The 14,345-nt window shown below is 44.2% G+C and overlaps 1 long non-coding RNA gene across 1 annotated transcript, besides 1 other annotated feature; it reads left to right on the forward strand.

Moving 5' to 3' along the window:
• Window positions 8,509–9,159: an enhancer, noted in NCBI's record as "H3K27ac-H3K4me1 hESC enhancer chr2:71114858-71115508 (GRCh37/hg19 assembly coordinates)". NCBI's record gives its function as "activates a minimal SCP1, AML or CMV promoter by ChIP-STARR-seq in naive H9 embryonic stem cells {active_cell/tissue: H9 hESC(naive)}" and the evidence as "EXISTENCE:reporter gene assay evidence [ECO:0000049][PMID:30033119]".
• On the forward strand, window positions 8,652–10,765 carry LINC01143 (long intergenic non-protein coding RNA 1143). The gene is made up of 4 exons (NR_126384.1): window positions 8,652–8,961; window positions 9,067–9,129; window positions 10,257–10,369; window positions 10,602–10,765. It is a non-coding gene; the product is annotated as a long intergenic non-protein coding RNA 1143 (long non-coding RNA).
• The last annotated feature ends 3,580 nt before the right edge of the window (window positions 10,766–14,345 follow it).

The following is a 14,345-nucleotide window of genomic DNA, read 5'->3' on the forward strand; positions in this document are numbered from 1 at the left end:
CCACCAATCCCACAGAAATACAAACTACCATCAGAGAATACTATAAACACCTCTGTGCAAATAAACTAGGAAATCTAGAAGAAATGGATAAATTCCTGCACACATACACCCTCCCAAGACTAAACCAGGAAGAAGTTGAATCTCTGAACAGACCAATAACAGGCTCTGAAACTGAGGCAATAATTAATAGCCCACCACCCCAAAATAGTCCAGGACCAGATGGATTCACAGCCGAATTCTAACAGTGGTACAAAGAGGAGCTGGTACCATTCCTTCTGAAATTATTCCAATCAATAGAGAAAGAGGGAATCCTCCCTAACTCATTTTATGAGGCCAACATCATCCTGATACCAAAGCCTGGCAGAGACACAACAAAAAAAGAGAATTTTAGACCAATATCCCTGATGAACATCAATGCGAAAATCCTCAAGAAAATACTGGCAAACCGAATCCAGCAGCACATCAAAAAGCTTATCCACCATGATCAAGTCAGCTTCGTCCCTGGGATGCAAGGCTGGTTCAACATATGCAAATCAATAAATGTAGCAAGGCTGGTTCAACGTATGCAAATTAATGAACATAATCCGTCACATAAACAGAACCAATGACAAAAACCACTTGATTATCTCAATAGATGCAGAAAGGCCTTTGACAAAATTCAACAGTGCTTCATGCTAAAAACTCTCAATAAACTAGATGTTGATGGAACATATCTCAAAATAATAAGAGCTATTTATGACAAACTCACAGCCAATATCATACTGAATGGGCAAAAACTGGAAGCATTCCCTTTGAAAACAGGCACAAGACAAGGATGCCCTCTCTCACCACCCCTATTCAACATAGTGTTGGAAGTTCTGGCCAGGGCAATTAGGCAAGAGAAAGAAATAAAGGGTATTCAATTAGGAGAAGAGGAAGTCAAATTGTCCCTGTTTGCAGATGACATGATTGTATATTTAGAAAACTCCATCATCTCAGCCCAAAATCTCCTTAAGCTGATAAACAACTTCACCAAAGTCTCAGGATACAAAATCAATGTGCAAAAACCACAGGCATTCCTCTACACCATTAACAGACAAACAGAGAGCCAAATCATGAGTGAACTCCCATTCACAATTGCTGCAAAGAGAATAAAATTCCTAGGAATCCAACTTACAAGGGATGTGAAGGACCTCTTCAAGGAGAACTACAAACCACAGCTCAATGAAATAAAAGAGGACACAAACAAATGAAAGAATATTCCATGCTAATGGATAGGAAGAATCAATATCATGAAAATGGCCATACTACCCAAAGTAATTCATAGATTCAATGCCATCCCCATGAAGCTACAAATGACTTTCTTCAGGGAATTGGAAAAAACTGCTTTAAAGTTCTTATGGAACCAAAAAAGAGCCTGCATTGACAAGACAATCCTAAGCAAAAAGAACAAAGCTGGAGGCATCATGCTACCTGACTTTAAACTGCACTACAAGCCTACAGTAACCAAAACAGCACGGTACTGGTACCAAAACAGACATATAGACCAATGGAACAGAACAGAGCCCTTAGAAATAACACCACACATCTACAACTATTTGATCTTTGACAAAAACAAGAAATGGGGAAAGGATTCCCTATTTAATAAATGGTGCTGGGAAAACAGGTTAGCCATATGTAGAAAGCTGAAACTGGATCCCTTCCTTACACCTTACACAAAAATTAACTCAAGATGGAGTAAAGACTTAAATGTTAGACTTAAAATCATAAACACCCTAGAAGAAAACCTAGGCAATACCATTCAGGACATAGGCATGGGCAAGGACTTCATGACTAAAACACCAAAAGCAATGGCAACAAAAGCCAAAATAGACAAATGGGATCTGATTAAACTAAAGAGCTTCTGCACAGCAAAAGAAACTACCATCAGAGTGAACAGCCAACCTACAGAATGGGAGAAAATTTTTGCAATCTACCCATCTGACAAAGGGCTAATATCCAGAATCTACAAAGAACTCAAACAAATTTACAAGAAAAAAACAAACAATCCCATCAAAAAGTGGGCAAAGGACATGAACAGACACTTCTCAAAAGAAGACATCTATGCAACCAACAGACACATGAAAAAATGCTCGTCATCACTGGTCATTAGAGAAATGCAAATCAAAACCACAATGAGATACCATCTCATGCCAGTTAGAATGGCAATCATTAAAAAGTCAGGAAACAACAGATGCTGGAGAGGATGTGGAGAAATAGGAATGCTTTTATACTGTTGGTGGGAGTGTAAATTAGTTCAACCATTGTGGAAGACAGTGTGGCAATTCCTCAAGGATCTAGAACTAGAGTTACCATTTGACCCAGCGATCCCATTACTGAGTATATACCCAAAGGATTATAAATCATGCTGCTATAAAGACACATGCACACGTATGTTTATTGCAACACTATTCAACAGCAAAGACTTGGAACCAACCCAAATGTCCATCAATGATAGACTGGATTAAGAAAATGTGGCACATATACACCACAGAATACTATGCAGCCATAAAAAAAGGATGAGTTCATGTCCTTTGCAGGGACATGGATGAAGCTGGAAACCATCATTCTCAGCAAACTATCACAAGGACAGAAAACCAAACACTGCATTTTCTCACTCATAGGTGGGAATTGAACAACGAGATCACTTGGACACAGGGTGGGGAACATCACACACCGGGGCCTCTCAGGGGGTGGGGGGTTGGGGAAGGGATAGCATTAGAAGAAATACCTAATGTAAATGATGAGTTGATGGGTGCAGCAAACCAACATGGTACATGTATACCTATGTATCAAACCTGCATGTTATGCATATGTACCTAGAACTTAAAGTATAAAAAAGAAAAAAGAAGTGAAGCCTGAAGATGCGACTGAATTGCTGCAATCTCATGATAAAACTTGAATGAATGAGGAGTTGCTTCTTATGGTTGAGCAAAGAAAGTGGTTTCTTGAGATGGAATCTACTTCCAGTGAAGATGTTGTGAACATTATTTGCAATGGCAACAAAGGGTTTAGAATATTACATACACTTAGTTGATAAAGCAGCAGCAGAGTTTGAGAAAACTGATTCCAATTTTGAAAGAAGTTCTATCGTGGGTAAAATGCTGTCAAACAGCATCTCATGCTACAGAGAAATCTCTCATAAAAAAAAGAGTCAATTGATGTGGCAAAAAAAATACAATTTTTTATATATATATATAGTTGCTCTTCCCTTCCTGAAAATGTCATCCAAAAGCCATTAGGTAGGGCCAAGCAAGGTAAGCATCCCCATAAGGGAGAGTGTCTGCCATGGTGAATCCGCATGGGTGTGTTGGGATCCAAGCAGGGAGACATCCACACAGTGTCAGCATCAGATACCTCAGCCACAGTGGGGTGAGCAGAGTCTCCTCAGTGGGGGTGGGGCACAGAGAGGCAATGCAGCCACAGGAAACTCGTTACACACCAGGAAACTGATCAAATATACATACTGAGGAAAATAGGAGACAGATTTCTCACTGTTCGAGAAGGTAGCATAAATACAGAAAAGAAGAAAACTAGAAAAAGCTCTTCCAGCCTGGGCAATATAGGAGGACTCTGTCTCTACAAAAAATGGGAAATTAACTGGGCATGGTGGTGCACACCAGTAGTCCTGGCTCCTCAGGAGGCTGAGGTGAGAGGATCACTTGAGCCCAGGATTTCGAGGCTGCAGAGAGCTATGATTGCACCACTGCACTCCAACCTGTGCAACTAGAGGACTCTACCTTAAAAATATAAATAATAAATAATAAAACTCAATAATATAAAAACAAATAACCCAATGTGAAAAAGAGCAAAGGACATAAATAGATATTTCTTTACAGAAGATATACAAATGGCCAAGAAACACATGAAAAGATAGACAACATCATTAGTCATCAGGGAAATGCAAATAAGAACCACATTGAAATACAAAGTCACATCCACTAGGATGGCTATAATTGAAAAAACAGACAATAACAAGTGTTGCCAAGGATGTGGAACAATTGGAATTCTTATTCATTGCTAGGGGAAAATGTAAAATGGGACAGCCACTTTGGAAGACAGTGCGGTAGGTCCTCAAAAATTTAAAGATAGAATTAGTTGTTTGACCTAGCAATTCCACTCCTAGGTATGTACCCAAGAGATATGAAAATATATGGCCACCGAAAACTTCTCCAAGAACATTCACAGCAGGATGTATTCATAATAGCTAAACAGTGGAAACAACCCAAATGTCCATCAACTGACGAATAGATAAACTGTGGTATGTCCATACAATGGAATTATTCATCCATTAAAAATGAAGTACTGATTTATGCTACAATACGGATGAACCTTGAAAACATTATGGTAAGGGAAAGAAGTCAGTCACAAAAGACCATATATTGAACAATTCCATTTATATGATATGTTCAGAATAGGCAAATCTATAGAGACACAATGTAGATAGTTACCTAGGGCTGGCAGGGATGGGAGAATTGGGAGGTGAAAGCTAACAGGAATGGGATTTCTTTTGGGGATGATGAAAATGTTCTAAAATTGATTATAGGAGTGGTTGTACAACTCTGTGAATATACATATTAAAAAACATTACACAGTGTATTTTAAATAGGTGAAGTGTATGATACATGAATGATATCTCAATAAAGCTATTACCCCCAAAAAAGGACATTTGGGACAATTCACAAATTAAATAAATAATATAGTAACAAAATATAGCCTATTGAATACATTAGGAATCCATTTGTTGATATTGATCTAAACAATGCACAAAGAGCTTGATGAGGGGCAGGATATATAGATAGTCTAAAAGTTCCTCCCTGCAAAATACTTATTAAATGCAAAGGGAAAAATAACCTTACAGGGAGAAACTTAATTCTCACTCAAATGATCAAAGTTAACATCACCAGTACAGGATATATCAAAATCATGTACCATCTGATAGGACACAATGAGAAGAATTCAATATCACTTCTGTGATATTCCTGCCAAAGATGCATAGTCTGAATTGAATTGTGAGGAAACATGAGATAAATCCACACCGAGGGGCTTTCTACATAATAACTGGCCGTGAAAGTCAAAGACTGGAACTAACTGTCACAGATTGAAGGAGACTAAAGAGACGTGACAACTGACTGCAATACATCTTTACTGCATCCTTTTGATAATAAAGGACATTTGCAGAACCATTGACAAGGGGGTCTGAGGAGTCAATTGTGATAGCATTAATTTTCTAATTTTGATGATTGCATTGCGATTTCAAGGGAGAATGTCCTTGTTTGTTAGAAATACAAAATAAAGCATTATGTCAGCAACTTGAGTTCAAACAGGTAAGTGGAGGAGGGGGTTTCTTTGTAATGCTCTTGACAATTTCTCTGTAAGTTTCAGACTGTTCAAAATAAAACAAGGAACTCCAATATATACAATCTAACTAACTGGTCCATATTCTTCAAAAATATCTGTTACAAACATACACAAAAAAAGCTGATAAACTGTTTCCAGGTAAAGGAGGCTAACAAGAACTTAAAAACTAAATGCAATGGGTAATATTGAATTAAATCTGGGACCAGAAAAAAATAATAATATTATAAAGGATATTATTGGGACAATTGATGAAATTTGAATAAGATCTGAAGATTATATATCAATGTTAAGATTCCTAATTTTAATCACTGCAATGTGGCATGTAGGTGATGGCCCTCAGGAAATGCACGCGAAAGTATTTAATAGTAAAACGGCATGGTGTCTGCAACTTATCCTCAAATGCTTCCATAAAAATAATTTTAAAAGAGAATGATAATGCAATTGCAGCTTAAAGACAATACTAGAGTTTTGTAATATTCTTGCAACTTTCCCATAAATTTGAAATTGTTTTTAACAATTTTAAATAATATTTAAAATGAAATATAAAACTCAATACCATGTACATACAATAAAAACGCACACCAAAAAAAAGAGCTTATTTTGTGAGAATATATGACAACAAAGACTAACAGCAAATACAACCCAGTGGTTTGGAGGAGGGGGTTGTGAAATTCAGGGAGGAGAATGTGAGTGCGTGAGTGCTCAGTCTAAAAAGATTAAACACACAATTTTTTTTTTAAACGGAGCTTCACTCTTTTCGCCCAAGCTGGAGCGCAATGGTGCGATCTCGGCTCACTGCAACGTCCGCCTCCCGGGTTCAAGCGATTCTCCAGCCTCAGCCTCCGGAGTAGCTGGGATTACAGGCGCTAGCCACCACGCCCAGCTAATTTTTGTATTTTTAGTAGAAACGGGGTTTCACCATGTTGGCCAGGCTGGTGATCTCCTGACCTCAGGTGATCGGCCCACCTCGGCCCACCTCGGCCTCCCAAAGTGCTGGGATTACAGGCATGAGCCACCGTGCCCGGCCTAAATACACTATTTTTAAAACAGACTAGGGAGGGGAGCTGCCGAAACAATCCCCAAACTTCTCACTTCACACTTCTGAGGAATGAGATGGGGTAGAAGTAGGGACAAGCATGAAGGGAGGTGTCATGTTTTATCTTTATCTTTTGGCACTGTTTGAACTTTTATTATATAAAATACAACCACATAAACAAATATGTAATTTTTTAATACAGACAAAAAAATGATGGAACATCTATATAATGTTACCAAGACAGCTGCTAGGAATGAGATAGAGCTACTTCCATTAACATGTAAGAAAACTATGACCTATTTTTTTAAGGCAATTTGCAGAGTGGCAGGGAATATAAATCATTGTTGCAAAAAACATCTAAATAGTTCACATATGCAACGTAGTAACTATAAGCCATGCTACTTCTGCACAGAGGATTAAGGAAGGACTTGTAGACACTTGTCTGATTATTTTATGAGTTTGTGTTCACTTATAATCTTTAAATTAATCTTATGTGAATATATTCTTATTAAAAAATCAAATAATATATGTATTGCTTTTATGATTTAAAATACATATTACTGTGGTTTAGAGAAGAAATTGTTTCTTAAAGGACAATTCCTATTTCTTTCTTCAGCCTCAAGAGTCAGAAAGCAAGACAATTAGTATTTTTAAATAAGGAAATGTAAACTAGTTTTCAGTAAAACATAATTTACAACAATAATGATTATGTAATCATGCCTCTATTAATACAGCAACCGTTTAAAATAATGCAAATGCACAATAACCAGGCTGTCTGTTTCCAATTTCCTTGGACTGGATGGCGAGAATCCCACTTTCCTGGACTTTTCCACCCACATTTATGATCCCTCGCAGCGTATAACCACTACGTACCTCTCCAAACCCAACAAACTTTGCAGCCTGCGCAGACAAAGGTTTCTATGTTTCTCTCTCCATTTCTACTTGGCAAACCCCTGCCTGGGGCTGTACTCGGGAGTCACCTTCACTTCCTTGCTAAGTCAGGTGAAGCCTTACCTGACTTTCTCCAGGCTGGGGAAAGAACCCCCACACCCCTCACCCACTCCCCGGCTCCCATTGCCTCTTCTTTCCTCTCCCTACCGTGCTGCCCACTTTGCGCGGTAATTTTTGCTCCAAGGGCCTGCCTCCCAGAGGCTTGGGGTGCAGGGAAAGTGCTCTAAGGGTGGGACTGATTTAGTCTGGACATTCCTGACCGGTAGCACCACGCCCATAATGACCCGAAAATAAATGCCTGCGTAAATTGCTTTGGGAAGCGGTTGGGCAATTTATTAAGAGTAGTGAAAATGTCCCCTTCCTGCTGAAACAGTAAGAATCTTGAAGAAATAATCCTCCCCAAAGGAGAAAACTATATACACGAAGATTTTAGGTTGTGTATTATTTTCATACAGAAAAACTGGACACGGAAGAATATCAAGTAATTGAACGGTTAAGTAAATTACACAGTAACATAATAGAGCATTACTCGGCCATTGAAAAGTATACTTATGAGGATCATAGCACATAGCAAATACTGAAGTGTGGCCTCAAGTAGAAAAGACTGAATACAAAACTACATGTTCACCAGGACTAACATTATGCAAAATAAAGATGCACATTTAAAAAAAAAAAAAAAAAAGACTGAGTCTTTTAGGGGTAGCACGGGGATATTTTTCCTGCTTTCAATTCTATTATTGCTGTTCTAGCCATGCGAACAGTGCACAGAGGTTGGAAGTGGCGTCAAGAGGAGTCTTACCATTGTGTATATGACTGTAAAACTGAGAAAAAGAAGGTAATATCAGCCTGGGGAATGCATTTCTAATGGCGGGACTTCCTGCACCTTGACCTGCCAGTCGGGGTTGTGGCCCGGCAGTGGCATTCCCAGGGGGTCTCAGAACAAAACGACGGCCACAGAGTCCACCTGGACAAAAGGGCAGGGAAGGGGCCCCTCGCCCTTGACCCTTGGGCTCTGCTCCGGCCACCCTGAGCCGAAGGCTGTTTGGGTGAATGCGTGGGGTTTCTCCGGCGATCGATCCCTTTGGACTGGCTTCCCCACTAGCAACCTGCGCGTCCCCACCAGAACCAGCCGGCTGGCCGAGCGAAAGCCCGGTTTCGGGAGACCTTGCGGGGAGAGCAGCTGGCCCTCGCCCACCGGGCCGCGCTTTGTCTAGGGCGCGAGTCCGCCCGTTTCCGGCCCCGCCCCTCGCCCTGGTCCCAGTCCGCCCCTCCCCCTACCCGGCTTCCGCGTCTCCGCTCCCGCGCTGCCGGCTTCCGCGGCTTCCCCCACTTCTCAGCCTGCTTCTCTCTCCCCTCTCCTTCCTTTCCTGTCCTTTCACACTCGCGCCCCAGCCCCCGTCACCATCTACCCCAAGGACTTGCAAACTTCGCCCCTGAGGAGCGGACTCTTCGGTTCTCCGTGGAAAATCAACCAGACCCAAAACAGAGGTCCCGGGTTTGGGGATACCACGCCGCGCGCCTGAGCATCCGGGCTCCATTTCTCCAGGCGACATCTGCGGGAAGGGAGACCTAAAGGCCAAGGCTGGGGACGAGAGGCAGGTGCCTGGAGTAGTGGACGGTGGAAATGGCGACGGCGGCCTGCACCCAGCGATCCCGAAAGTGCCCATGTATCCGTCCATCTGGGTTTTTTTTTTTCTTAGATCATCCACCAAGGCCGGGGTTTCCGAGTGAGGCGCCCACTTCGCATCCCACAGTACCGCCAGGTGTGTTTCCCATGAGCTCTTTAAGAGAGAACCCAAGAGCTCTTTAAGAGAGAACCCAAATAATGTGTGAATACCTTCTCCAATAACTTCAAGTCAGAGGCTCAGACACACACACACACACACACACACACACCCCTAAAACATATTTATTTCGTGGAAGAGCGTGTATCCCTCGGCTGTCCTTCCAGCTCTCCCTTGGTGCGTGTGCAGGACGCACAGAAGGGTGGAGTGTGGGTTGCGATTATTTTTACACAGAAGGTGTCACACTCTGGGATCTGTTCCGCAGGGAGGCCACAGGTGCCAGGAGACGCGGGAGAGACTGGCTCCTGCCAAGAACATTTCTTTGCATTGTTCAGTGCGGTTTTTTATTTTTATTTTTGACTGTTTGTTTGCCTAAGAGATGACTTCCCTTGCCAGAAAAAAAAAAGTGTTGTAAAAATAAAAGGAAACGGGATTACGATGTAAAAGACGAATAGATAAACCCGGTTCCGCAGATCTGCGGCGCGCGCGCCTGGCGACCTCGGATACATTCATTGAAGTTGCCGCGCACTCGTACCCGGGTTCACCTCGCCCCTCGCTCATTCCTCCCGACCAAGGCCCATGGTCAGAGGTGTCCTCGCCCCGCGGCCGTCAGAGGGCGCGGCCTACACTCGAATGCCGGCCGAGCCCTCCACGCGCTCGGAACTTGGGCTTCCCGGTGCAGCCTCCCCGCGATCGCAATGCCCGCTGCCTTTCCCGAGCCCAGTCCGGAACCCGCCTCTCTCGGGGACCTTGACCTCGCGCGGACCTCGTCGCCTTGCTTAGCTCTCCCTGACCTGCTTTTGAACCCGCTAATCCCGTCCCGAACTCTCGCCCCGCGGCAATCCCTCGCCCCGGCCCTGGCGCGCTAATTCCCGCTGACCCCGCCGCCCCGCCGCCTCTCTCCGCTCGCGCGGCTGTGACCAGGATAAGGGCTTCCCGCCTCTGAGTGCAGGTGTGATCTGGAGCTCAGGCAACTACTGCCCCCGCATTGTCCCCAGCCCGCGCTCGCACCCCCAGGACCCAAGCAAAGCGTCTCTTGCCTCAAACATTCTGCCCTTCTCTTGCTTCCTCTTGTTTCCCTAGCATAATTCATGTCTTTCTTTAAGAAACCCATCGGACCCACAAAGATCAAAATCTTCGGTAACACACCAAACTGGCGACGCTGTGGGGAAGCAAGCACTCTCCCAAGTGGCTGGCGCGCAGTGAGGGCGCAGGAAAGGTAAGCAGGAGACCCGCCGCTAGGAGCCAGAGCCAGGCCGGCGAGGCGGGCAGGCAGGAAGAACCGCGGACAGGGCGACTTGATCTCATTTTTAAAACCGGAGAGTGAGATGGGACGAGAGCTTGAGCTTCTAGGGATGGGGCTGAGATTCTGGAGAGACACCTGGTAGTCATTTCTTAATCTTTTGTGCTGCTTAGAATTTTTTCTTAGATGCATGTTTTCCTTTTAAAAGAAAAAGAAAAAAAAGAAAAGGCAGAGCGGGGTGGCTCACACCTGTAATCCCAACAGTTTAGGAGACCAAGGAGGGAGAAGCCCTAGCGGCCAGGAGTTCCAGATCAGCCTGGGCAACATAACGAGACCCTCGTCTCTGCAAAAAAATAAAAAATAAAAAATTAGGCGAGTGTGGTGGTGCCTGCCTGTTGTCCTAGCTACTCAGGAGGTTGAGGCAGGAGGATAGCTTGTGCTTAGGAGTAGAAGGTTGTAGTGAGCCGTGATCGTGTCACTGCAACCAGCATGGGCGACAGAGTGAGACCTTGTCTCTTAAAAAAAAAATAGTAAAAGTCATTATTTTAAAAGTTGATGAAATTAGTTCACACTACACACATTTACAAACACAGGTCACACACACACACAAACACCTCCAAGGCAAGGGTCTGCACATTTGTTTGGGGTTGTTTTGTTTTGTTTTGTAAGCAAACTGAACCCAACACAAAGCACTGTACTCCCCTTCTTGGTGTTTATTACAGGACCATGGAGGCTTAGTAAAAAGCATTTATTTAAGGGGAGTTATTTTCAGAGGCTGTTTTCTAGCCAGGAAAAAAAAAAATCGGATACTTAGACTTATCCCCTGGTATGTGCAACATGTAAACAACCAGGTAGCATGCTTCTCCCACCCCCAAAGATCAAACTCCAGGGTTCCAGCCTTGGCCCTGTATCAGTCTGACTGCCCCTGGAAGGTTGGCCATCTCCAGTGATATAGGCTACATGACCGACTATTCGAGTCTGTTTGGCTCACAGCTGTCCCCTAGTGCCTGGCATATTTTAGGAACTCAATAAACATTTGTTAGATGACAAATATTTCAAAGAATGTGCAACAGCTCCTGGAGAACTGTTTCCAGTAGATATAAATTCCTAGCAGCATCTTGGGGTAAGAGGACGGGCCCCCGAGGCTGCCACCTCTAGAGGGCCTTGGATAGTGGCCAGTGCCTTCCCACACAGGCCCAACAGTCACCCAAAACAGGCTGTCATTCAGCTCCTCACCCTTGCATTTTGAAAGTCCTCTCCCAGGGTCAAGAGATAGAGAATTCCTCTAGCCTGGTCCCACCCAGGCCAGTGGCTCCTAGAGACTCAGTCCCTAGGTAACCCCTCCTATTCACCATGGACAATAGGCCACTCAGCAGACAGGCCTTGGATGCTTGTTGGGACCCACCTGAGCCCGAGAGCAGAGCTTCTGGCTCACATGGTGAAGGGGAAACCAGAGAGAGGGTGACCTAGGAAGAGGTGCCAGAGATGCCTGGCTCCTGATTGCCAAGGTCAGTCTGGAACCCGCTTGCAGGTGACACAGATCACTGATCGCAAATGATTATTGCTTGAGGCAACAGGGCCCTAAACCTGAGGGTTTCCTAGCACTGGGGACATGGGAGACAGGTGGTTAGTGACCTTGAATGTACAGTGTTCTGGCTTGCACAGAAGGCATGGCAAAGACAAAAAGGACAAAAAGATGAAAAGGAGACCTGCCTACTTTGTAGTGACTAGTGGCAAAGACGAAAAGAAGACCTGCCTAAGTGGTAAGTCACTGTAGGCAACCTCTCTGAGGCACAGTCAGGAAGGAAAGGTGAGCCACTGCCCTTGATGGAAACACAGAAACGAAATGCTTCAAATCCATTCTAACAATGACATTTAAATTTGTGTTTTACTGGATTTGTTTGACTTTTAACACACCACAAATTCAAAAGGTATCAAAGGATATAAAGGCCGCCCATGCTGACCTCCAGGCCCCTCCCCAAAGACAGTCCAGAGAGCAGTCCCAGTGATCCAAACTGCACCCTGAGCTTTCCAGGAGCATCACGTGGGAAATGCCTGGGAAATGATGCCTGCCCCCTCCCGTGTCTCCCCCGCGACACACAAACACACACACACACACACACTCACACACAGCCTTTGCAATCTCCGTTTGCCTCTTTGCCAGAGGACTCAGATCTTTCTTGGGCTCGAGTTGCTGTTCCTTCCCTGAATTGTTCTTCCCTGGGCCTCAGGAAAGGCTGATGAATAGGCTGGGGTTCTCAGGTTGGGAAAAATGCAGGATCTGGCTTTGGGTATGAGACTGGAATGATAAACTCAGAATGCTCCCCAGGGTCTGTGCCAGGGCCGAGTTGGATGAAGACAGGGCTCCAGCCTGGGCCTCACAGCACACTGTCCTCTGAGCCCAATGGCCACTTTTGGGAAAAAGAGGGTTGAGCCAACCTGGGAGGAGAATTGCTGTCCTCAGCCTTGGCAGCCAGTTGCATTTCTCCTGCACCCACCACCTGGGACAGGCACTAAGGTAGTCAGTGTGGAGGGCCCTGGAATCTGGGTTCACAACCCGCATGCTGGACAGTCTCCCGCTGCTCCCCTTGGGCATGGCTAACCTCCTCATTTCTTCATTCACCCTGGCAGGAGGAGGAGAGGGAGCAATTAGGGCTACAGTGTGTTCTTGGCTCTAAGCCTTAAATGATACAAGCTTAAATCTTTCCTTCAGCACCCACAGAGTGCCAGGTAAAGTGCACTGGGTTAAGTGCTCTGAATATATTAATTTACTCCTCTTAACATTTCCAGAGGTTGATACTAATATTACTCCCACTTAATGGATGAGAACACTGAAGCCTAGAGAGGTTCAGCAGCCTGTTAGCAACTAGTTAAGTGGTAGAACCAGGATCTGAACCCAACCTAGCCAAGAGCCACGACTCTGAATCATTGCTCCAGAGACTGTATTCCTATAAGGCTGCAGTCCAGGTGGCTCCTCCCCATTGGACAAAACCAGAAAGAATGCTTCCAGAAGGTGACTGATTAGCTGGGGACCCATAGCCATCCAGTGGCATTTCCCAAGCCTTGCCGGGCTCATCTAGCTGTTCCCAAGAAAACTCCCCCACTCTTCTGGTCAAGCGCTGACCTGAAGGCTGAAAACCAGTTTGGGAGTCACAGACGTGCTCACACAAAAGGTAGAAATAATCCAAATTTCCATCAATAATGAATGGATAGACAAAAAGTGAGCTAATCATACAATGAAATATTCTTCAGTCAGAAAAAGAAATGAAGTACTGATACACGCTACAACATGGATGAAATTTGAAACATTATGCTAATAAAAGAAGCTAGGCACGAAAACCACAGATGATATGATTCCATTTATATGAAGTATCCAGGATAGGGAAATCCATAGAGACAGAGAGTAGATTAGTGGTTGCTTAGGGCTGGGGGTTTGAGGAGATAGAAGGCTGGGGGATCGAGATTTCTTTTTGAGGTGATGAAAATGTTCTAAAATTGACAGTAGTGATGGTTGCACATATCTGTAAATACACGAAAAACCATTGAATTATACACTTTAAATGGGTGAATTTTATGATATGTGAATTACATCTCAATAAAGCTATTACCAAAACACAAAATCAACACAACATACACACATAGTTCTAGAACTTAAGGCCACCACCCAGTCAAGGTAGATCCAGGCTCTGCCCTGCAAGTGTCCATGTCCTTGCAGTCCAAGTTTCCTTCAGTCTCTGTAGAGGCCGCAGCTCCCCTGCAGTGAATGATACTGCCCCTCAATTCAAAAGGCCCCTCCTGGGCTGTGCCAGGAGCCTGAATCCAGCCTACCGAGAACCTCTTAGACTGGGAGAGAGCTCCCTTCACAGAGTGAAATTGGAGGGAGGGGAAGAGATTTTTGCCTTGGCAGGGCCCTTGGGGTCCCACACAAACCAGCTATATGACCTTGGTCTCA

The sequence above is a fragment of the Homo sapiens genome, chromosome 2 (assembly GCF_000001405.40).
Source record: "Homo sapiens chromosome 2, GRCh38.p14 Primary Assembly".
Classification (NCBI taxonomy): domain Eukaryota; kingdom Metazoa; phylum Chordata; class Mammalia; order Primates; family Hominidae; genus Homo; species Homo sapiens.